Consider the following 25,626-nt stretch of genomic DNA (forward strand, 5'->3'; position numbering starts at 1 on the left):
TTCCTCCTGGCTGCATGTAGTCAGCCATTTTGCCTGGCACACATTTTTATGTAGATAAAATAGTCATGTTTTGCAAAAGATTCCTAATTCCTAATTGAACATGTATCAGCAAAGAGGAGAAGCTTATGTTTGGTTTTAAGTCCTTTTAGGGTAAATGCATCTGGAGGTCACATGCCAAAACATGCCAAAAACCTTCCAAGTCCCTTCAGACTTTGAAACTCATCAATTTAAAATCAAACTTTGGGAAAATATTTCTTTGCAAGTAAAGGAGCTTCTGCATGATTCCAGTACTTTCTCATCCATTATGTTATTTAATCCTCAAAGCAACTCTCTAAGTTTGGTATTATACTTCCAATTTTGATATTTGAGTTAACCAAGCTTATATGAAAATAACTAATTTGACCACTGTCACACGGCTAGGAAGGGATTTCAGTCTGATTTGATTTGAATCCAAAGCTAAGAATCATTCCATTATACCACGATGTCGCTCGTAAAACAAATACATGAGAGATATTTTCTTTTTTTTTTTTTTTTCAGTTTGGTAATGAAATAGTGAAATTGTCTTTATTGTTTTTCTTTTTTTTTAAATTTTATGATTATTATACTTTAAGTTTTAGGGTACATGTGCACAACGTGCAGGTTTGTTACATATGTATACATGTGCCATGTTGGTGTGCTGCATCCATTAACTCGTCATTTAGCATTAGGTATATCTCCTAATGCTATCCCTCCCCCCTCCCCCCACCCCACAACAGTCCCTGGTGTGTGATGTTCCCCTTCCTGTGTCCATGTATTCTCATTGTTCAATTCCCACCTATGAGTGAGAACATGCAGTGTTTGGTTTTTTTTCCTTGTGATAGTTTGCTGAGAATGATGGTTTCCAGCTTCATCCATGTCCCTACAAAGGACGTGAACTTATCATTTTTTATGGCTGCATAGTATTCCATGGTGTATATGTGCCACATTTTCTTAATCCAGTCTATCATTGTTGGACATTTGGGTTGGTTCCAAGTCTTTGCTATTGTGAATAGTGCCACAATAAACATATGTGTGCATGTGTCTTTATAGCAGCATGATTTATAGTCCTTTGGGTATATACCCAGTAATGGGATGGCTGGCTCAAATGGTATTTCTAGTTCTAGATCCCTGAGGAATCGCCACACTGACTTCCACAATGGTTGAACTAGTTTACAGTCCCACCAACAGTGTCAAAGTGTTCCTATTTCTCCACATCCTCTCCAGCACCTGTTGTTTCCTGACTTTTTAATGATCGCCATTCTAACTGGTGTGAGATGGTATCTCATTGTGGTTTTGATTTGCATTTCTCTGATGGCCAGTGATGATGAGCATTTTTTCATGTGTTTTTTGACTGCATAAATGTCTTCTTTTGAGAAGTGTCTGTTTATATCCTTCGCCCACTTTTTGATGGGGTTGTTTGTTTTTTTCTTGTAAATTTGTTTGAGTTCATTGTTGATTCTGGATATTAGCCCTTTGTCAGATGAGTAGGTTGCAAAAATTTTCTCAATAGATGCAGAAAAGGCCTTTGACAAAATTCAACTAACCTTCGTGCTATATACTCTCAATAAATTAGGTATTGATGGGATGTATCTCAAAATAATAAGGGCTATCTATGACAAACACACAGCCAATATCATACTGAATGGGCAAAAACTGGAAGCATTCCCTTTGAAAACTGGCACAAGACAGGGATGCCCTCTCTCACCACTCCTACTCAAAAGAGTGTTGGAAGTTCTGGCCAGGGCAATTAGGCAGGAGAAGGAAATAAAGGGTATTCAATTAGGAAAAGAGGAAGTCAAATTGTCCCTGTTTGCAGATGACATGATTGTATATCTAGAAAACCCCATTGTCTCAGCCTAAAATCTCCTTAAGCTGATAAGCAACCTCAGCAAAGTCTCAGGATACAAAATCAATGTACAAAAATCACAAGCGGTCTTATACACCAATAACAGACAAACAGAGAGCCAAATCATGAGTGAACTCCCATTCACAATTGCTCCAAAGAGAATAAAATACCTAGGAATCCAACTTACAAGGGATGTGAAGGACCTCTTCAAGGAGAACTACAAACCACTGCTCAATGAAATAAAAGAAGATACAAACAAAAGGAAGAACATTCCATGCTCATGGGTAGGAAGAAGCAATATCGTGAAAATGGCCATACTGCCCAAGGTAATTTACAAATTCAATGCCATCCCCATCAAGCTACCAATGACTTTCTTCACAGAATTGGAAAAAACTACTTTAAAGTTCATATGGAACCAAAAAAGAGCCTGCACTGCTAAGTCAATCTGAAGCTAAAAGAACAAAGCTGGAGGCATCACACTACCTGACTTCAAACTATACTACAAGGCTACAGTAACCAAAACAGCATGGTACTGGTACCAAAACAGAGATATAGATCAATGGAACAGAACAGAGCCCTCAGAAATAATGCCGCATATCTACAACTATGTGATCTTTGAAAAACCTGACAAAAACAAGCAATGGGGAAAGGATTCCCTATTTAATAAATGGTGCTGGGAAAACTGGCTAGCCATATGTAGAAAGCTGAAACTGGATACCTTCCTTACACCTTATACAAAAATTAATTCAAGATGGATTAAAGACTTACATGTTAGACCTAAAATCATAAAAACTCTAGAAGAAAACCTAGGCATTACCATTCAGGACGTAGACATGGGCAAGGACTTCATGTCTAAAACAGCAAAAGCAATGGCAACAAAAGCCAAAATTGACAAATGGGATCTAATTAAACTAAAGAGCTTCTGCACAGCAAAGGAAACTACCATCAGAGTGAACAGGCAACCTACAGAGAGACATTTTCAAATAGTTTAAGAGAGAAATTATTTTTAAAAACTAAACTTCCAATAGAGCCCATAAAGTTCTAAATTTAAAGCAAAACTCTTTGCTGAAGACTTACAACGGCATTTAGACTATTCAACTATCTTACTGACAGAGTCATGCTTCAGTCCTGGCTGATGATGGGTAATGTCATTCATTTCCATGGCTTTTACTATCAGCTATGTGTTGATGGCTTCCAAATCTATACAATAGCAATGACGGAAGTCAGTTTTTCATTAGACATATCCATCTGAGTAACCCACTAAAATATCAAACTTAATAGGTTTCAAACTGAGCTCATCTGTGCCTTAAACTGCTTCTCCTAAGCTAATGTTACTATGTAGTCATTCAAGAAAGGAAAATGAAACTCACCCTAGGCAACCCTTATTCCTTTATCCCTGTAGCCAATTTGACATTATGGAAGTATGACCCACTTAATACGTTTCTTATTTAACTTTCTATTCCAGAACCACTTCTCAAGGACAAGTTATCATCATCTTTTGCCTAGACTATTGCATAGTTTCCTGACTCATCTCCCAGCCTCCGATCTCACTATCATCCCATGTGTTTTTTATTCTGGTAACATAATGATTTATTGAAAAATGCCATTCTGACCATATCCCTATCTTGTTAGGAATTTGAAATAACTTTCTAGTTCAAGGATTCTTTGGTTGCAAAAAGCAGACACAAACTCTGGTCAATTTAAACCAAAGGAAAAAAAGGAACTTGTCAGAAGAATACTAGTGTTCATAGAAATTAAGGAAAAGTTGAATGATCAAGGATCTTGATCTATAACTCATGATCAATTTTGGAAGTGTTGGTGTCTGAATGACTCAGCTCCTTCTGCTTTATACACTAGTCACTCCACTGAAGATTCAAATTGTCAGGAAAGAGTGACTGGCTTAGCTTATGTCATGTGCAGACACTTCTGGGGAGTGATAAAGGTAAAGACTCATTACTGATGGTCTCACCAGGACTTTGGCAAAGTGGGAGATGAACAGATCCCCAAAGAAAGCCATGTGCTGTTACTTAAAGAAAAAGGAACTGTTGGGAGAGCAAAAACAAATGACCCACATTTTTTTCCATTTTTAGAGTGAAGTCTATAATTTATACTATATCCTTGTCATTCAAGACCCAAAATGATCTGGCCCCTCTCAGCTTTTCAAATATGCTATATGTTATATTCTGTTTCTTGTCTAGAAATTCTGTCTACTTTACATGGCAAATATCCTACTTACTCTTTAAGATTCAACTAAAATGTCATTTCTTTAGTGTTGTCTTCCCTAGTGCTACCAGGAAGCATTGACTACTCTTTTCTTGGTGCCCTTTTTTGCCCTCTACATATGCCAGTAATAACACTTATCAAGGCTCAATGCAATGATTTTTTTAATAAGTTGGCATCTCTGGCCATACTGGCTTGGTCTTTAAGAATTAGAATCAAGTTTCATTAATCAGTATATTCCCAGAATATAGCATAGGGCCTGAAATACATGTGGAGTTCAACACATGCTTTTTGAATAAAAGAATGAGTAAGTAAAATAAACTTCTTTCCTGAAAACATTATACTACTAGAAGCATGTTAAGAGAATGAGATAGCAGGCTTATTTCTTATTTTCAAGTGCCTCTTGTGAAATAAAGCACTAATTAAAAATTTTTATTAGCTCTAGAAGTAATGTTTTTGTATTTCCCGTAATGTTTCTTGTTTAAGCACATTAAAGTTAGACTTTTGATGTGAAAATAAATATTCTTACTTATATGCACAGATTTTTTTCTCACAACTTTTTTCTGTTAGCTTTTTCTACATTGTAGTCTATTGCTAGTCTCTTTGCCTTCCTGCATTTTCCTTCATTTTTTAGTTTTCGGTTTCTTTGGGGTTTTGTCATTAGCAAGTTTGAATGGCTCCTCCTCAGTCTACATGGAGGCAAAGAATTGGCCACATAATCTCTGTGGAAGGCCCTTGAACCAGAGTGGAGATTGATCAGGTGGGCGGTGAAATGAGGTTTTTGTCAAGGCCTCTATTTCTCTTCCTTCCAGCCTTAAACAGATGCATCATCTCGGCCCATTAGAAGTTTTCTTTGGTGCTTGATGGTCTAATCCAAATGTCCTCTCCAGGCTGTCTTAATTTGCAAATGCACACTACACAAATCACCATACTGTGCCGTTCTGTGTTGGGAAATAAAAAGTGGAAAAAGAGGTTGAAATTGCTATTGCAAAAAAAAAGTGAAAAACAAGACGAAAAGTAGAACCCAAAGTACCTGTTTAGTTATAATGAGAGGTTAGAAGGCTTTGAGCAAAATTGCAAGAAGCCTGGACCTAGGCCCAGCATCCTGAACTGTTGTCAATTGGGAGCTATTGCAAGATCCTATTTTCCATTTCATGAGTCTGTTAAGTTCTTCATTTTATTTTCAATTTTCTCAGCAATGTATAATTAGAGACCAAATGTGCATTAACTAGTAAACTTCCAGAGAAGAGTGGAGTTTCACTTGAGTGTATAACACACAACCAATCAGTGAAAAACTCCACAATCTTTCCCTAGATCTTAGCTTTGGCCCCTACTCCCCTTCCCATACTCCCTCTACCTGAGTAATACCTGGATTTGAAAAGGTTCTGCAAAATTTATTCATGTCATGGGCTAAGACCAGACTTCAGACAAGAGGCCAGGGTAAATTTGTAGACAGAAACAAAGGCAGGAGGGGGCAGGGAAATGCTCACTGAACTTGCTGTCAAACACTCCATTATTGGTTGTTTCACACTGCTTAGTCACTTGAGCCAGCCCTTCATCTGTAAAACCTAAAATAGGAATAGTATTCATACTGTTTGCCATCACAGACTGTTGCAACAATCACATGAGATTATATCCACACACTAATATATAATGTGTATTGTGTACAATATGGGCATTTATATGTCTATATACAGATGTATATTGTAACTGTAATGTGTATAATCTTCCAGTCTCCCACAGCAGCTTAATTCAAAGATAAATGCATCCTATAGTCAGAGACTGTTTTTATGTCTTATTAAAATTATTTATTCTAAAATTTGAATTAACTCAATTGAATAGAAATAAGAAGGTAGCTTCAAATAATTAAAAGCCTTGACCTTCATAAGTGAGTTAATATTACTTAAGCTATCTTACCAAAGAACACTTGCTACCAAATAAAATTTTTGCACACCCCATAATTTAAAGTAATAAATTTCTAGTGATGGAAATTAAGCCAATCCAATAAATTGTTTTTAGCAAGGCTATCTTCCTATTCTCTCTGTCTCTTTGTCTCTCTCTCTCTTACACACACCCACACACACACACACACACACCACTTTGCTCTACATTGAAAAAGGGACTGTATTATGTCCCCCAAAAAACACAGATCAGAGAAAGTGGTTTGGCAGAACATGGTATTTCCTCTTTAAGGTTTACATTTTACATATTTAAATATACCTGAAAACTGCCAATTATAAACATGACTGTAATTTCCACTTTTCAGTCCATTTTCACAGCATCTAGCTAAGATCTTATGTCAGGAAGGTTATTTGATAAGCTTCATTTTTCCCAAGGTAAAATCAGGAGGCTGCTGATCTCTTCCATTCTTTCTTGTGCAATGGAGGTAGTAAAAGTAATCATAAGAGGGGCTGCAGCACTTTTCTTCTCCCCTAAAATGTACCTCACCCAAGGAGAATGACCAAATTGGAGGAGATTGTGGCATGATGGACTCTAATATTTTCAGTCATGTATGTACTGCACCCAAAATTTTTGAGGGAGTAGCCCCAGTATATATGTATTGCCATCATTAGTTAATATCTCAAAGCAACCACTTATTGGAGGCCCATCTTATGAACCTTTATATAAGTTGAAATAGCAAATAAGTATGATAATTTTAGCTTTTATCTGATGTCTTGTTAATTTAAATTTTTTTTGATATATCTAAATCGGCATTTATCAACAATGGTATGCTGCCATTTTGGGCCATATGATTCTTTGTTATGGGTTCTGTCCTGGGTATTCTAGAATGTTTAGCAGCATTTCTATTCTCTACCCACTTGCTTCCAGTGGTATCTCTCCAGTCTGAACAATAAAACTCTCTCCAGACATGTTAAACTTCTCTTAAGGTGTAAACTCAACCCCTTGTTGAAACCCACTGGTTTAAAGGAATACATTATTTGTAGAATTTGTTTCAGATTTGTCACTTTCAATGTGAAGTTTCTTTGCAGAAATTTTTAAAAGCTTTTGTCAATTTAGAGTGGGTGAATGAGTTAACGCAAGATACTATAATCAGTAGATATACCTACCAGACACTGGTAAACTACAGTATTTAATCATGTAAACAAATAGGCGAGGGTGCAATTGTCAATCCCTCTCACTATAGAGCTCCTATTCTTGTCTCAAAACATAGACTATGTAGATGTGGATAGCAGAGATTGCTCAACCAAGGTTGGGGGATGGGCATATTTATATGCCAACTCCTTTAGGCATTATTCAAAGGTTGCTTATGAAAGCTCTGTGACATCAGTCAAGGCAACGATTTTTTTGATATGACCCCAAAAGCACAGGCAGCAAAAGCAAAAACAGGCAAGTGGGATTATATAAACTAAAAATCTTCTGCAACAGCAAAGAAAACAATCAGCAGTGTGACAAGACAACCAATGGATTGGGCAAACATATTTACAAACCACACATCTGATAAGGGGTTCAAATCCAAATATATCAGGAACTCAAAACAATTCGATAGCAAGAAAACAGTCCTATTAAGAAATAGGCAAAGGACCTGGATCAACATTTCTCAAAAGAAGACACTCAAATGGCCAACAGATACATGAAAAAAATGTTTAATATCACTAATCATCAGGATAATGCAAATTAACATCAGAATGAGATATCACCTTACATGTATTAGAATGGTTATTATCAAAGAAACAAAAGATAACAAGTTTTGGCAAGAATGTGGAGAAAAGAGGATGCCTACACATTATTAGTAGGAATGTAAAGTAGTTCAGCCATTATGGAAAACAGCATGGAAGTTCCTCAAAAAGTTAAAAATAGAACTAACATATGATCTAGCAGTTCTACTACTTGCTATATTTACAAAGGATATGAAATCAATATATTGAAGAGATATTTGCACTCCCACATTCATTGCAGTAACATAGCCAAAATGTGGAATCGACTTAAGTGTTTGTTGGTGAATGAATGGATAAAGATAATGTGGTATATATACAAAATTTAGCCTTAAAAATAAGGAAATGTTGTCATTGGTGACAACATGAATGAACCTAAAGAACATGATAAAAAATAAAATAAGCCAGACCCATAAAGACAAACACTAAATGATCTCAAAAAGTTGAATCTATAAAAGTTGAACTGGTAGAAGCAGAGAGTAGAATGGAGGTTACCAGAGGCTGGGGGATAAGGGAATTGGGGAAATGTTGATCAAGGGTTGCAAAATTTCAGTTAGGAGGAGTAAGTTTCAGAGATCTATTGTAAATTATGGCAACTATAGATAATAATAATATACAGTTGGCCCTCTGTAGCTGTGGGTTTTGCGTTGATGGATTCAACCAATCTCAAATTGAAAATATTTTTAAGAGCTACAAACGATAGCAATAAAACAGTAAAAAATTTATACAAATTAAAAAATACAGTGTAACAGTTATTTATGTAACATTTACATTGTAATAGGTATTGTAAGTAATTTAGAGATGATTTAAATTATACAAGAGGATATACAGCAGGTTATATGCAGATATTTTGCTATTTAACATAAGAGACTTGAGTACCTGCTGATTTGGGTATCTGTAGGGGGTCCTGGAACCAATCCTCCATGGATAACGAGAGACAACTGTATACTTGAAAATTGTTAGAAGAGTAAATTTTAGTGTTCTCACCAAAAAAAAAGATAAGCATGTGCCCTACTGTATATTTTAATCAGCTTGATTTAGCCTTTCCACAATGTACACATACAAACTACAAAGCATCAAATTGTATGCCATAAATTATGCAATTTTAATTTTCAATTAAAAATAAAATCAAGTTTGATTCTGGGTTGGGGGAGGGTTTTAAATCCTCAACATATCTGGCTTGTTATTCTGGGAGTAGGGGAGGGAGAAGGAGGAGTGGGCTTTGGCCAATAAATACTTCACATAGCTGTAGTTCTAACTAGCTTGTACTAAAGTGGTAAGAATGTTGAGAATATGAGTGGGGTGACAATGGTGTCTGCTACTGTCCTGCTAATGGACTGAAGGAACTGGCTGAGAGGGAGGTTGATGATGTGTGGGACCTAAGGGGTAGGGGAAGAAAGAGATAAATGGTGTCAGACTGAAAATCATAGATGGAAGAATTATCTGGAAACCCTGGTACCTTATCTTCAGAGTCTGGAAGGAAGAAAGGAAGATGGTTGCAAGTGTAGATAGGTTTATGGTTTTTATGACAGGAAGGTGTGGGATTAACATTTGCTGTTTTTGTTTTCTTAGTAACCTGTGGGAGAGGGTCATCTCTAGAAAATGAGAGAGTGAGTTAGGAAGGCAAAGAGCTTTGTAGTAGTCACTAAGGGAAAGAAGAGACAAATTAAAGAAATATGAGCAGCATTTAAGAGCTCTGCTAAGATAAATAACCCAAAATTTATGGTGTCACCAATTTTATGGTCTAGTAGATCATCTCCAGCAGCCCTCAGTAGAGAAGGTAGAGGGGAAAAATGCAAATTGCAGGATTTATTTGTTTATTGAATAAATATTTATTGAGCATCTACTATGTGTTAGGCACTGTCTTAGGAGCTTGAGATAAAACCAAGACAGAATAGACAAAATTATCTGATCTTGTAGATCTTACATTTTGGAGGGGAAATGCAGAAAATACAGCCAATGAATAAAATTGTAGTATACTGTGATAAGTACAGAGAAAGCGAGAGAGGATGCTGAGACGGAAGACGGTTTGTCATTTTGGACAGGGTGTGTGGGAAAGACCTCTCTGAGAGGCCGAAAGAGATACAGCTATTCGGTTATCTGGGAAAACATGATTCAGGCAGAGGAAAGAGCAAGTGCAAAGGCGCTAAGACGGAAGTGTCCGTGGTATGTTTGAGGAATGGGCAAGAAACCCAGTGTAAGGACGGGACCAATGTGTGCAAGGTGTAAAATGATATAAATTAAGTTCAGAGAGAGAAAGTTGGAGGTCCACCTTGGATATGATCTTGTGGCCCATAGCTGTTAAACTGATTCATGTTGGAAGTCTGAGGGAATATGAGGTATGAGGACTAGAGGTGGGAATGTTGAGAATGTCAGTGAAAGTCAATTTCAAATGATCATTGAGAAGGGAAGGAAGTGAATCCAAAAGTGGGCAGGTAAATTGGGAGCATTGTGAAGAATGGGAAGAGAACCAAGAAAGAATGAAAGCATAGAAAGCAAGGGAGGAAGAGTTTCTAGGTAGTGGGTATGCTTATTAATGAAAATTAACATTTATTTAGCATGTGTGATGTGCTAAGTACTTTGTGTTATTATCGCATTTAAATTTCCCACCCATCTGATGTAGTAATAAATATTAATATCCAAATGTGCAGATGAGCAAATTGAAGCATAGAGTAAGCCACATACCCAAAGACATGCTGCTAGTCAGTGGCAGAACTAGGATATGAATTCCATTAGTCTAACTTTTATGCTCCCTTCCTCTCTTTTCCCTGTAGTTTTGCTGAGGTATAATTGACAAATAAAAATTGTATATATTTAAAATGTACAAATTGATGTTTTGATATGCATATACATTGTAAAATAATCACCCCAATCTAGCTCATGGGCATCTCCATCACCTCACATAGTTTCCATTTTCTTCTTTCTCTCTCTCTTTTCCCTCCTTCCTTCTCTCTTTCATCCTTTTTTTCTTTCTTTTTTTGGTGAGCACACTTAACATCTACTCTCTTTGAATGCTGCATAAGACACCTGTATGACAAGGATAAATGCAGATCCATGGGGGAGTGGCTGGTAGGAGGTCATTGGTGAAAGCAGGTGGGAATGGAGGCAGTACTTTGCAGTAATTTAGTGATTCAGTAGATGGCAAGGAAGTGGAGGCAGCAGGTGTTGGATTGAAGAGACAGGGGCATTATGGATAGTGACATCAAGATTATGTAGACTTTTTTTTTTTTTTTAAAAAAAGAGAGACTCACATTGGTTTAAAGCCTGAGAGGAAGGTGCCAGAAGAAAACGACACAATGAAGACAAAAGTGTGAGTTGAATAAAATAAACAGCAAGGTCAAGGAACAAGTTTGTAGGGTTGGAGTTATGAAATAGTCTGGGAAAGGAATACCCCATTTCATAGACAAATAACTGAGGACCAGAGAAGTAAATGGTGAACCCAAGGTTATAGAACCAATTAAACAGTAGCTCAGGGACCAGAGTCCGGGTTTTCTGATTGCCAGGACAGGTGCTTTCCACTAGTCCACCCAGCAACTCTTGCTGAATCATCCTCTGCTGGTTACTTATCCCCAATCCAAAGGAAGTTGTTGTAGTTAATGAGTAAATACAGTGTAGCCAAAAACCAGTGAAAACACACAGCTCTATAAAAACACAATGACACCTTGTCCTTCCAGTTTCCTTCACAACACCCTCCCCCCATAGTTCATTCACACCGAGTACTGACTTTTCTTGACTATAAGCTGCCTTCAAGATACTGAAGGTTCCCAGTGTTTGTGCTAAGCAGGGACTCAGGTGGAGAGAACTAAGGTCACCCTCAGGGAATTTCTTGCTGAATTAGGTTCCACTAAGCCTTGAAATCAAAACGCTTCTGGTAGGTAAATGGAGTACAGATGGGAAATCAAACCAGTGTGTGACTGGGCATGATTTAGAGCAACTGTTATTGATATGACAGATCCTAGCAGGCAACCTCATGAGAGCCTGGATGTTCGTTTCAATGCAGGCAGGTGAAACGAATAATTGCATTTTTGACTTTTGAATTTCCTGCACCTTGCCAGTGGTTATTACAGCCATAATCTGGGCCATGTATATTCTAAGGAGGCTTTCGATTTAAGAACCTAGATTTTTTGAGAGGCATGCAATAGTCAATGTATCTCTATGCATAAGATTTTATGTAGATATTTTGATGATGCATAATTTCTACACTATATGAAATATAAGTTTTTTAACTTTGGGGGAATAACAATAGTTTATTTCTAACATACATTATCTTGGTCAAACATTGAAATTCTTGATTAATGTTTAACTATGAGAAGTATACTCATTCAAGTAAAGGATCAGTTTCAGGGTTCAGGCTGAAGTGTCTTAATGACTAGAATTCAGGTTCCAAGGAGAAGCCCACAAGGCTAAGGGTATTGGATATAACGGAAAGTGGAAGCTATACCTGACTTCCAGAGAATGTGGACCGGATATAAGATCTTAATCTTCTCTTATCTTACTACAGAAATCTGGATGGAGAAGCAGTATTTATCTCAAAGAGAAGTGGACCTAGAGGCTTATTTCACTAGGAATCACACCGTTTTGCAAGGTACTCGATTCAAAAGAGCCATTTTCCAAGGGCAATACTGTAGAAATTTTGGCTGTTGTGAAGACAGAGATGATGGCTGTGTCACTGAGTTCTATGCGGCGAATGCGTTGTGCTACTGTGATAAATTCTGTGACAGAGAAAATTCTGATTGCTGTCCTGACTACAAGTCCTTTTGCCGTGAAGAGAAAGAATGGCCTCCTCACACACAGCCTTGGTATCCAGAAGGTAGGCTTTGGGAATGTGTTTCAACATCATCCTCGTTCATAACAACAAGATCTGACAAACGTTCTCTCTTTTTCTTCTTTCTTTTTTTCCTTCTTTCAATGAAATGAAAATGATTATTGTGATTGAGAAAATACATTTCTTTGGATTGTTAAAGTGCTTTGGTTTGGATGTGGGGTTCCTGTGTAATACAAGCACCTTCAGGAAAGTTCTGATCTGACAGTCCTGCGTGCTGATCGGAATCCTGATCAGTGAGTTTTGAACACTCACTCAACTTGTATAAGGATTACTTTAAACTCTTTCTTCTGTTCTCTCTCTCTCTTCTTTTTATTGACATCAGGTTTCTCAAGCCTTTTTGTGTGCAGCCTCTTAGAGAGTCTCAAGAAAGTCGCAAGATTTCCTATCCGTAGATTTTAGTTGTTATTTAAAAGGGCTAATGGATGCACTAGCATTAGAAACTGTGGTATTAGTAATGCTATTAAAACCAGGACAAAATAAGATAAAGTCAGTCACCCGCTCTGCCTAAGTAATACCAAATGTATTCTTCACGTGTATTTTTGTTTTGCTTCATTTGTTTTTCCAGTCTGGGACTTTTACAATTATTAAAAAGAAAGGAAGGCTTCATATAGACTGGTTGAAAAAGTCTAAGGTTAAATGGATAAATACAATATAAAGAGGATGATGGTATTTATTATATTTATCTAATTGGAGGAGAATGACTATGGATTTTGAGCATAGATGAGGCTTTATTTTTCTGTCTCTCATTGTATTAAATCTCCTCAACAGAACTTCAGGGTTAATCAGACTTCTCTGTCACACTACCATAAATGGGTGATGGTGACTAGAAATCCCAGTTAGAAGACATTTTAGGGTAAACTAGGGGCTTGGAATCCTTATTTCAAAATCCAGATGTCATTTAAAGAGTCAGAGCAAGACTGTGTCAAAAAAAAAAAAAAAATCCAGATGCCATAGCCATCATTCTCAATAATGTCATCTTGTTTGTAAAATTGAGGAAATGTCTCTTTATGTGTCTACATACGTATTATTTTAAATTTTCCACATAATTGTTATTTATCCTCGGTCTTTACATTTTACCAATAAACAGCTTTCCCTTCTTCCCTCCCTCCACACCTCCATCCTTCTCTCCCTTTCTTTTTTCCTTCCTTTTTTTTCCGTGTGTGTGTGTGTGTGTGTGTGTGTGTGTGAGTCTTGCTCTGTCACCCAGACTGGAGTGCAGTGGCAGGATCATGGCTCACTGCAGCCTCTAACTCCTGAGCTCAAACAATCCTCCTCCCTCAGCCTCCTGAGTAGCCAGGACTACAGGTGTGTGCCTCCACACCCAGCTAATTTTATTTTATTTTTTGTAAATGTGGGGTCTTGCTATGTTGCCTAGGCTCGTCTTAAAACTCCTGGCCTCAAGCTATCCTCCCACCTTGACCTCCCAAAGTGCTAGGATTACAGGAATGAATCACTGCTCCTAGACTTTCCTTCCTTTCTTCCTTCCTCTGTTTTGTTTTTCTTTCCTTCCTTCCTTCTTTCTCTCTTTCTGTCTCTCTCTCCCTCCTTTCTCCCTCCCTCTCTTTCTTTCTTTTCTTCTTTCTTTCTCTTTCTTTCTTTTCTTTCTTTCTCTCTCTGTCTCTCTCCCCTTCCTTCCTCCTTCCCTCCCTCTCTCTTTCTTCTCTTCTTTCTTTCTTTTCTTTCTCTCTCTCTGTCTCTCTCCCCTTCCTTCCTTCCTCCCTCTCTTTCTTTCTCTTTCTTTTTCTCTCTTTCTCTCCCTCTTTCTTTCTTCTTTTTTCTCTCTCTCTTTCTCTCCCTCTTTCTTTTTTCTCTCTTTCTCTCCCTCTTCTCTTTCTTTTTTCTCTCTCTTTCTCTCCCTTTCTTTCTCTTTCTTTTTTCTCTCTCTCTTTCTCTCCCTCTTTCTTTCTCTTTCTTTTTTCTCTCTCTCTTTCTCTCGCTCTTTCTTTCTCTTTCTTTTTTTCTCTCTCTATTTCTCTCCCTCTTTCTCTTTCTCTCTCCCACTTTCCCTCTTTCTTTCTTTTTTTCTCTCTCTTTCTCTTCTTTCCTTTCTCTCCCTCTCCTTCTCCCTCTCCCTTTCCTTTCTATTCCTTTCCTTTCCTTTCATTTTTATGAGCCATTCCCATCTTTCTCCAATGGTAACCTCCTTTTAAAACATTTTTATATACCCTTTAACAGCATGTGGTCTTGTTTTGTGTGCTTGAATTATTAATTTATATAGACCATATTATGCTACAGACCTCATTCTGTTTCTTGATTTTCTCAGACAGCAACATGTTTTAAGACTCTCTCCATGTCTCCGTGGACTAGTATGACTAGTCTGTGGCTTCTGACTGATGCTTCATTCTCTGTGATGTCCCTTCATCTCATCTAACTCCCTGTTCCCTCCATGGTGGGTGGACACCTAAGTTGTCTACAGCTCTTTGCTATCATAAAGAAGTCCATGATGGACAGCCTCATGCATGCCTTCTTACTGACTTGCATGATATGGCAAGACTTGAATTGCTGGGTCCCAGGTATGCATTTAATCTAAGTCTTGCCAGATGGCTCTCAGAAGTAGCTGCATTAGTTTATGTTCCCCTAGTACTATACGGGGACACGTCTCTAACAATTAGTATTATCCAGAGAGGTAACCTTTACTTATATAATCAGTAAAACGTGATTTCTCATTGTCATTTTAATTTGCATTTCTCTAATTTCTAGTGGGTTTGAGCTTCTCTTCATATGCTCATTAATGATTGGCTTTCTTCTTCCTGTGACTTACTTTTTCCTATCCACAGCCTTGTAATGCAACTTAATATCAGGTACAGCAAGTCAGCTTATTCACCCCCCTTTTTTGAAGATGACTTAGGTCATGTAGACATTAATCTTCCATAAACAGTTTTTGAATAAGTTTTTTTAGTTCCTCAAAAAACTTCAGCTAGAATTTTGAATAGAATTGCATAAAATTTATAGACTTATTTGAAGATAGCTGAACTCTGTAATGTGATGACATCTCATCAAAGAGTATAGGATATTTCTCCACTTACTCTGATTTTTAAAAATATCCTTAAATAGATTTAACACTTTACTCCATAGTGGCCTTATAATACTCTTGTTTATTCCTGGATATTTATTTTGTATTGCTTTTTTTTTGTTTGTTTTTTGTTTTTTGTTTTTGACAGGGTCTTGCTCTGTCACCCAGGCTGAAGTACAGTGGCGCCATCATGGCTCACTGCAGCCTCGACCTTCCCCGGGCTCAAGTGATTCTCCCACTTTAAACTTCCAAGTAGCTGGGACTACAGGTGCCTACCACCATGCCTGGCTATTTTTTTGCATTTTTAGTAGAGATGGGGTTTTTCCTTGTTTCCCAGGCTGTTTCAAACTTCAGAGCTCAAGCACTGTATTATATATTTTTAAAATATATTTTATAGTTGGTTGGCTGTTGTTATGAATAAATGCTATTTATTCATGAGAGCTCATATCCTACTGGCAATTTTTCTCAATTCTGTTATTAGAAACAAAAATGTATTTATTTATCACAGTAAAGCTGTCTACACCAGAACTCCAAAGTAAACATCATACATAATGGAGAAATGTAGATAAGTTCCCTTTAAGACTAGTAATAAAACATGGGTTTCTACCGTTTTTGCTACATTTAACAGGGAGATATTTGTTATGCTTTAAGAGAAAAAATGAAGTAAAACAGTCTGAAGAGAATAAAGTAAAACTCTTATTATTTGTAGATAATGTGGCAATCTACATAGAAAAAAATAAAGCCAACAGAAAATAGCATTAATATGAATCAGAAATATTTAAAAACCAGGATTTTTTATTTAAAAATCCAGATGTTTAGCTACTCTTGAAAAATTGAAAAATCTGACAATTCTGCGTGCAAGGTCTTGCATGAGATTTTCATTAGTGAGAGAGATGAGTGGTGGATGCCACCTTTTGGTAACATGTATTTTCCATTTTCCCATATCCCTTACCCCTTGCTATTTTCTCTCTGACCCACTTCTCTCATCTCTGCCGGGGTCAGTATGTCTGTAGTTTCTGTAAGTGGAACTCCTCATTTTTGCTCCATATACAACTTGCACAGCTGTACATGCACCCTTGGGCCATTACTATTGCAGGTATTTTGGGATTGAAAGAAGGTAATTTCTTTGAAAATGGAAGGTGTATTTTCATCGAAAAATAGAAAATACATGTTTAAAAATAGAAAATACATGTTTAATAGAAAATACACGTTTAAAATTAGCATCTTAAACATGTATTTTTTTGAACTTCTCTATTTTGTCATGTTGGTATGATCCTTAAAATAATAGGTGAAGTTAATATGTATTAGTAACATGATGAGAATACATAAGGCATCATAAGGAGCCCTGTGCCCAGGATTAGTTAGGGATCGTATTCCTGTTATTTAAATATAGTTTCTAATAGTGACAAGATTGGGCAGACAAGGGAAATTCACCCCTCACAGAACCTGCACATAGTACATATTTACTTAACAGACCCTTCTGTAATACCCTGAGTAGCATGTTTTCTCTTGTCTTACTGAACATACTCTTCCTCCTCCTTACAAGCTAAGATTTATTGAATACTTACTATGGAGCCAACAACTGTTCTAAGCACTTTTCAGGTATTAACTCATTCATTATTTAATTCTATGTTGTTTAATAGAATATTACTTTATTTTAATTATACAGCAGCTTCTTAAGAGTAAACACGGTGATTTACTTATCACGTACTAATTATGGTGCCATGAAGTGGGAGGCCTAGTAAATATTGTTTGAATTTGGATTAATTGATATTTAGAGGATTTAAATTTTATTTCAAATTTTGTATTTGTTAAATTAAATAATAATTTACTCATATGATTTAAAATAATAAAATATTTTCATAAGCATACTTTTTCATACATAGTTTTAAAAGATATTTAGAAAATATCAAAGTATTATTGTTTATAGTTTAAATGTGCAATTTCTATATTATTTTGGATGTTGGAATATCAACAGGAGTAATCGATAGTATTTAAAACTTTTTATATATCCATGATTGTGGTAAGCATTGAGGGTCATAAGAAAAGGGTATTATAAAGTCCCAGGCCTCGAGAAACTTAGGATCTACATGGGTAAGGAGACTTAGGTATGCGAAACAATTAAGAAGCATCGTGTGACTTGTATGCCACATGTGGACAAGAGTATCACCCAGGAAAGTTGAGTATATTAAAATGGTTAAATGTTTATTTGATAAAAACTATGTACCATATAAGAACATGTCAGATTGGTGACAACCCTAACTAAAATACGTATTTTTAACACATAAGATATTTTGCCTGGATTCACTTTGTCATTAGCCACGAGGCTCCATGCAGCCTTCTGCTTCACCATTCTTAGAAAATGGCCCTTGTAGTCATGAGCTGCTTTGGCTCTTCATGATCCAAAAGTGATATTTGAGTCCCATTTAAAATAAATGGAAAAGAAGGTTAGAGTTTCCACATTTTGAGAAGACATTCTAAAGCACAGATGAGCACCTCTGTTTTATTTCTTTGGCCAGAATATAGTCACATGGACATACCAACCATCAAAGAGAGGTTTTTCTTAGCTGTGTGGTAATGTGTCTAGCTATGAATGGGGTTCTGTTACAAAAAAAAAGAGTAGAGAATGATATTGGGAATAACCAGCAATCTCTGCCAAAAATTAAGAATGCGGAATCACCTAAAAACACAGTGGCTATTTGGATGTCTGCCTTTTGATTAGTTATTATATCAATTTAATATTTTTTTGAGTCTCAGTTTAAAAGTATGAGTTGTAATTTTTTAATGTGCTGAAATGTACTTGAGATTTTCTTATTTGAGGCATACAGTGCATACAAAAAAAGTAGTTGCTACTTCTTCAATATCCATTTTTGCTTGAGAGGTAGAATTTTGCTAAGACTTTAATTTAGGGTCATAGTTTATGTAGAATTTATGTTCCAGGTATAGTTTTTACTCCATTCACTATGAAAGGAAGGAATTAATCATTTTACTTTGTAGCAAAAAGTTCACATTAGACTATAAATGCTCCCATACAGATAATTTTTTTTCTTTTGTTTTATCTTGCTTTTGAAAGCAGCTACTTGAAAATAGTACTACACAATATTGAAAAAATGTGCAAAATTAGTTAAGATAAAAATACAATGTATATTATTTATGCTATTGGTTGCATGCATAAAGCAACTTTCCTCTGAGATTCTATGATCACTCACTGATCTATTAAATATATTTTTCAGAGATTTAGTTACATGGGTATTGTTCAGTTCCTCTTATTGTGCCTGTTCTAAGAGCTCTTTAAATCAAGGATTTAAAACTATGTACATTATCTTCAGGATTAAAAAAGTAAATATATCCATTTTGTACAAACTGGAAGTAAAGCATATTGGTAAATATCTTCTTTCTGTATTTTCTTTGCCATATCTGATGGTAACTTCCAGTAAAGGATTTCAAATGTCAGGCTGGGTGTGGTGGCTCACACCTGTAATCCCAGCACTTTGGAGGTCAAGGTGGGAGTATCTCTTGACGGCCAAGAGTTTAAGACCAGCCTAGCAGTACAATAAGACCTCATCCCCACCAACAACAATAAAAAAAATAAAAATTAGCCAGTCATGGTGGCATACACTGTAGTCCCATCTACATGGGAGGCTGAGGCAGGAGGATCCCTTAAGCCCAGGAGTTTGAGGCTTCTGTGAGCTATCATTCCACCAATGCACTCTAGCCTGGATGACAGAATAAGACCCTGTCAAAGTAAAAAAAAAAAAGTAAAAAAATTCAAATGTCAGATATGGAGAACCAGTGACAGAGTTGAAAACAGAGCTCGAGTGGATTTTCTAGACATAACCTTTTGGTATAGAGGATTTTAAGGAGAAAGTCTAGTAGACCATCTGCTGTGAACAGACCTAAGTTGATTTGATTATGCACAATATGTTCACATTGGTAAAAAATGTATGTGAGTCACTGACATGTTTGAATTCGAAGAGGGTTATTTACTTCTTCACAGCCTCCTTAACTATATTACAATGAAGGTAAATCACAGTCCATACTTTGCCACGTATACTGACAGTTACAAAAATATGACACAAACCAATTCATACAACGTCTATAAGCTTCATGAAATCTCCAGTTCCTGTCCTTTTACGTGTTCCCACATCTACGTTGCATGAAAGATTTATTGGAGGCACATGTGATAATATTACAGAGGTAGAACTCTGTTACCTATACAGTGGCTATCAGAGAATGACAATTCCTCCTTTCTACTTGGCTGGACACAGTACACAGGACAAATATCAGTCCTAGAGAGCCAAGTCTAAGAGTACAGGTGCTTTTGAGTTTAAGAGATACATCTAAGCTATGGGATACAAGGGTGGTATGTGACTTTGAAATATTTTAGGTAATCCTCATAAGTAAAAAAATTATAATTTAACCAATGGGAGCCAATTATTTATCACAATTATGCTGATTAACAAGTCATGAATTTTAACAATAAAACCCATTTCTGACATTTATTATACTAATAATCTAGGGTTGATCAAAATATGGGTAATGGAAGCACTTGCAGCCGTTTCTCCAAAGCCTGGTCTTTCAGAGTGAATGCCACTGAACAACCCTGGGGGGTGGATTCCTGATTAGAGCAAGCAACTGCCTTTACTTTAGTGAAGTTTAGACCAGCACAGATATTTATAATACACTGTGGTGAACTATTTTAAAATAAATTATAGACAACATGTCATTATCTTTTTGCAATTCAAGAAGTGAAGTTTTGACCAGCATAGATACTTATAATACACTGTGATGAACTATTTTAAAATAAATTATAGACAACATATCATCATCTTTTTGCAGTTCAAGAAGTGAAGTTTAGACCAGCACAGATACTTGTAATATACTATGATGAATTATTTTAAAACAAATTATAGACAATGTATTATTTTCTTTTCTCAATTCGAGAAGATAAACTATTTCATTCTCCAAATATATTATTTGCCTAATATTGCTTTAAATGCTGTTAAAGTCACAAAACTGCCGTAATTTCAACAGTCATTAGTTTTGGCTTTGTTTTGTTTTGTTTTTTTGGTCAAGATGCTGTGTGTAACCAATTAATTAACTCACTCTGAGGAGCTCCAGACATATTTTACTGAGAAAGTAAAGCTACCGGACAGGAATTCTTTCATATCTCCACAATCATAGTTTTCAACCTACCTCCATCTGGGTTACTGCTTACCTTGAATTGACTCCCCTTCTTGAGTTCTGAATCCCATCTTCTCTTATCTTTTCAATACCTCCATCTCTACCATTCTCTCTCGCTTTCTTGCTCTCTCTTTCTTCTCAAGCATCATTTTTTTCTTTTCTTTTCTCCTGGTGATATGGTTTGGCTGTGTCACCACCCAAATCTCATCTTGGATTGTAGCTCCCATAATTCTCACCTGTCATGGGAGGGACCCAGTGAGAGGGAATTGAATCACGGGGACAGGTTTTTCCCATGCTGTTCTTGTAGTAGTGAATGAGTCTCATAAGATCTGATGGTTTTATAAATGGGAGTTGCCCTGTACAAGCTCTCTCTTGCCTGCCACCATATAAAATGTCTCTTTGCTCTTCCTTCGTCTTTTGCAATGATTGTGAGGCCTCCTCAGCCATGTGGAACTGTGAGTCTATTAAACCTCTTTCTTTTGTAAATTACTCAGTCTTGGGTATGTCTTTATTAGCAGTGTGAGAACAGGCTAATACATGTGGATTAACCATTAATTTCCAAAATGTGTTTTTGCCTTTCCCAACTTTATAAAATCTCTCCCTTAACTTCATGTCTTTAACCAGCTACCATCTCATTCCCTTCTTTCCTTTAATGGCAAAATGTCTGAAAGAAAAATTTACTTTCTTATTCCAAGTCTCTCATCAACCCATTCCTACAGGATGTCAGCTCCCTGCTACTTCACTGAAATCTCTCTTGGCAGGGTTATTGGCAATTCCTACATTACCAAATGCAATATTCAGATGTCTGTTTTTGTGTTCTTGGCCTCTCGACAGTACTGTATGCAGCTGACCACCTAGAGCATTTGAAACACTGTATTAACCCTGTTTTTCATGACACCACCCTCTCCTCAATTTTCTGTTCCCTCACAGGCCACTCCTTCGCAGTTTCCTCTTCTGAATGTCTGTCAGATGCAGTGTTTTGAGCTCAGTCCTGGACCACTTTCTCTTACCTATATACACTCTCTCCAAAAGACTCTTATTTAGTCTTGTGTTTGAAAAAGTAGATATGGATGTTGGTGTCTCCCAAATTCATGCTCCAGCCTGGGCTTAACTCTTGTCTTTTATAAACTGCTGTCTACTTGATATCTCTGTTAGGATGTCTAGCCTAGGTTTTATCTAAATCTAAAATATACACAGTAGCAGTCTTGATTTCTTGACACAAGCCTGTTTCTTATTTTAGTGATAGCTGTACCATTTCTTTATTACTCAAGCCAAAGTCCTAATGAGGTATCTTTGATTCCTCTTTTCCCTCATTCACCAGATTCAATCCATGAGTGATTCCCTTTGAGTTACCTCCAAGTTATATCCACCTACTTCTCTCTATCCTCACTACTATTATGCTAATCCTTCATGCTTCTGGGAACCTCCACCCTAGTCAGCTCAACAGGAGTGATAAGTGCAGAGATTAGGGTGGAGACATTTTGGATAAGGCCTTATAGGTTACAGTAAGAAGTTTGGTCTTACTCTAAATTTGATGGGAAACGACTTGAAGATTTTAAGTAGGAAGCTACATGATGTATATTTTTGACGATCTCTGTAAATGCTGTGTGGGAAATGAGGGATCCGTTGGAGTTGGGAAGGATTGTAGCAAAGGAGTGAGTGGACTGCGTCTGGGTATTATATAGACACTGATGCTTTACTGTGTCAACACCTTGACCGGGGTCCGAAGTAACTGATTATGGCTTTTGCTCAAGAGATTAATTCTCATGCTAGATTAAAGTGAATGCAATGTCTCAGTTATCTCTTACATGAAATTAAGGAAGGATGACCAAGAAATGGAGTTTTTGTTAACATTAAATTTAGTGTTGATGATTTGGGGTGGCTTGGTAATGGCGGTCCCCTGACTTCAAAATTATTAGCTGAGTATAAGTCAGCTAATACTCAGCTGAGTATTAAGGTCTTTTTCCTTAAGGACCCTTGAGATGTCTGTTCCATTTATCCATGGAATTCATATGTTGAACACTCAAGATTCATGAGGTATGATTAAAAATCAGCTTTGTTTTTATCCCACACTCTCAGTTTTTAAGAATGGTCAGGAAAGTACTTCTCTTGGCTTTGAATGAAAACTTGGATTGTTGCATGGATTTTCTGTTGTTTCTAGGTAATAAAATATTTTAGAATCTCTTTAAATTAGAAACATACTGTGGATTCAGTTATGAAAGGAGTCTAATCTTATGTAGCAATTAAAACCATGAATTTGATGTGAAGTTCAGTCTTCCTACATCTCGGGTTTGCTGCATTAGGAAAACTGTGGTCAAGAGAAGGGTGGTTTCCTTTTCTTATCCCATGATTGTGACGTACCAAAATTCCATATGAAAGGGATGCCTAGACGTAAATACATAAATAATTAGATTCATTAAGTAGAATATTGGACTGTGAAACATCCAGGGGAGGGGCAGTTATGAAATATTTTTTATTACAATATTTTTTGGAAAATCAAACAATGGCTAATTCCTTAAGTGGCTTTGTAACATTATGGCTAGAAGTTAAACAAGGTCCCTTAGAATGCTTTCTAAACCTATAGTTTGCCCTATGATTTTAGGAATAAAAGGTTAAAATTCATTTTGTTTAATTAGAGGCCATTGGCATAAAATACCAATTACATGTTTCTATCAAAAACAGTCTCACTAGACAAAGTTGAGTCCCTTTTGCTAATTCAATGTTAATTTTGAATTTGAGCAGATTATATTTTCAAAAGGAATTTAAATTTTTAACCAGAGCACTATTTTTACAATATGTTACTAGTGGTTTTTATATGATAATGATTCACCATCCATCTCTTTTGAGTAGTTCATATAATCTCATAAAGCAGTTAATAACTAGTTTCAGTTAACAGTTAAGAAACATTTGGATTTGGAAGGCAAATGGCTACAATCTTATTGATTTCCTGAATTTTTTCCCTTATTCAGATCCTAAAGAAAAAAATAGAATTTGTCTTTGTAAGGTAAATTCAATGAAATGACCTGGTATTTTGAGTCCAAAGCTACTTGCTTCAGTCATATCCAATTAATTATAAGCACTTATGAGACTTGATTAGTTGTTTTTTTAAATGAGACATGCCATAAATCAATTCAAATACTATTATATTGTTTACTTACTTAAAAGCATTAATTATTTTTTAAGCATAGTGATTAATTCCTTGGTAATCTTGTTTTCATGTTTTGCAAATCCTCCCTGTTGGAACATAATATGCAGTTTAAAGATAAAAGCATTGAAACAAGCACAGAAGAATTCGATATACACACCTTGACACAAACCTGACATGGATTTCTATCAGCTTTTTTGGCACCAAACATGTCTGCATATTTGAAAAGCTAACTATGATTTTTGATTACATTTTATGTTAATGCACTTTATTACTTAGTTTAGCATTTTCATTTCTTTACATGTTACTTTGACAGGTTGCTTCAAAGATGGTCAACATTATGAAGAGGGATCAGTAATTAAAGAAAACTGCAACTCCTGGTAATAAATTTAAGTGGCACAGAACTGAGTTCTACTGTGTGTGTATGTTTTCTTCAAATAAAAGAAATATTTGTGAACCAAAGTATACATTTATGTACATATAGGCAGAATCATACATCATAAGACATCATGTACCTGTAACTTTGTATAAGCATATTTAATTTTAAGGGATTTTGAAAATTTAATCATGAATATCTTTTAATGTTTGAGGTTGATGTTCTTGACAATGGGTCTTCATCATACAACAGGTCTTCATTAAATGTACCTCTTAATTATAATATTCTGATACCCTAAGGCAAATTGTGTTTTTTGAGCACAGTAACTATATAAAAACAGGCTGCTTTAAAAGGACTAGCCTGCAGAAAGTTTCCAAATACAAGTACATTGAATCTACTGTCCAATTTGGCTTGTTTTCAAACTTCAGCAGATGTGTGATCATATCATTTGTTAATTGCCTGGAGTAGAGGATTACAGCATATTGAGTGGTAGCTAACGTATGTTTTACAATTTATTTTTGCCAAGAATCAAATAACCATATGGCTAACATTAATCAAGAAATTATGTTTTATGCCTTAACAATGTATAACTCTTTTTACTAATTGAAATATACTTCATAAAGACCAAGCCACTTTTGTAATTGTCATATCTTTGCAGCACATGCTCAGGACAGCAATGGAAATGTTCCCAGCATGTATGCCTTGTTCGTTCAGAATTAATTGAACAGGTCAATAAAGGAGACTATGGGTGAGAGAAATCTTGCTTTGTATGTTTCTTGACACTGCCATTTACTATGCAGGTTTCAATGTATTGCTTGGTTTCTATAAATGGTCATTGTTTAAAAAGAAAGAGTGGGAGAGAAATAGGAAGGGAGATAGAAAGCATGTAAACCTGGAATGCAAAGGTAAACATTAAATAATTAAAATGATCAAATAATAAATCTACAGCATAGCTGTAAATTATCTAGGAAAGAGCAATGTCGTGGTGTAGGTAAGGGAAGTGGAGGGAAAGCTACTTTGGATAAGTATTTAGGCAAAATCAGGAAGTCAGCAAAATTCATGTATTCATACTAACCATTTCTCCCTCTGCTGCTGCCCTCACCAAGCCAATCACATGCTTAGCTATCATGGGTAGAATCTGACCTTACAAGGATGATATTCAAATAACAAGCCAATCTAAATAATTTCACTGAAATGATGGGTATCTAACCAATGTCACTTACGGTTGAATCAAAAGACAGATTGAGCTACTTTACTTTGCTAGTACACAAAAAGTAGGGATGATTGACACTGAAACATTGGAAATAACTGATGCTCTCATGCAG

The 25,626-nt window shown here is 36.2% G+C and overlaps 1 protein-coding gene and 1 long non-coding RNA gene across 10 annotated transcripts in view; one reads left to right on the forward strand and one right to left on the reverse strand.

Annotated features, from left to right (window-relative positions):
• Positions 1-4,924: 4,924 nt before the first annotated feature.
• LOC105375098 (uncharacterized) lies at positions 4,925-6,371 on the reverse strand. Its single transcript, XR_926892.2, has 3 exons — positions 6,305-6,371; positions 5,575-5,652; positions 4,925-5,025 (listed from the first exon to the last, which is right to left on the reverse strand). It is a non-coding gene; the product is annotated as an uncharacterized LOC105375098 (long non-coding RNA).
• Positions 6,372-11,524: 5,153 nt separating this feature from the next.
• Positions 11,525-25,626, forward strand: part of TINAG (tubulointerstitial nephritis antigen) — an 82,281-nt gene continuing 68,179 nt past the window's right edge. For 4 of the 9 annotated variants that reach the window (XR_001743344.3, NM_014464.4, XM_017010745.2 and 1 more), the window contains exons 1-3: positions 12,104-12,568; positions 24,242-24,305; positions 24,960-25,049. Coding sequence is in view for 8 of the 9 variants with exons in the window: in NM_014464.4 (NP_055279.3) it covers positions 12,214-12,568; positions 24,242-24,305; positions 24,960-25,049 (509 nt within the window). In the remaining variant the exon portion in view is untranslated. Of the gene's footprint in view, positions 11,630-12,103; positions 12,569-24,241; positions 24,306-24,959; positions 25,050-25,626 lie in introns of those variants that run through there. The other 5 variants (XM_006715062.3, XM_017010746.2, XM_011514497.3 and 2 more) reach the window with 5 other exon arrangements.

Source organism: Homo sapiens, chromosome 6 (assembly GCF_000001405.40).
Source record: "Homo sapiens chromosome 6, GRCh38.p14 Primary Assembly".
Taxonomy (NCBI): Eukaryota; Metazoa; Chordata; class Mammalia; order Primates; family Hominidae; genus Homo; species Homo sapiens.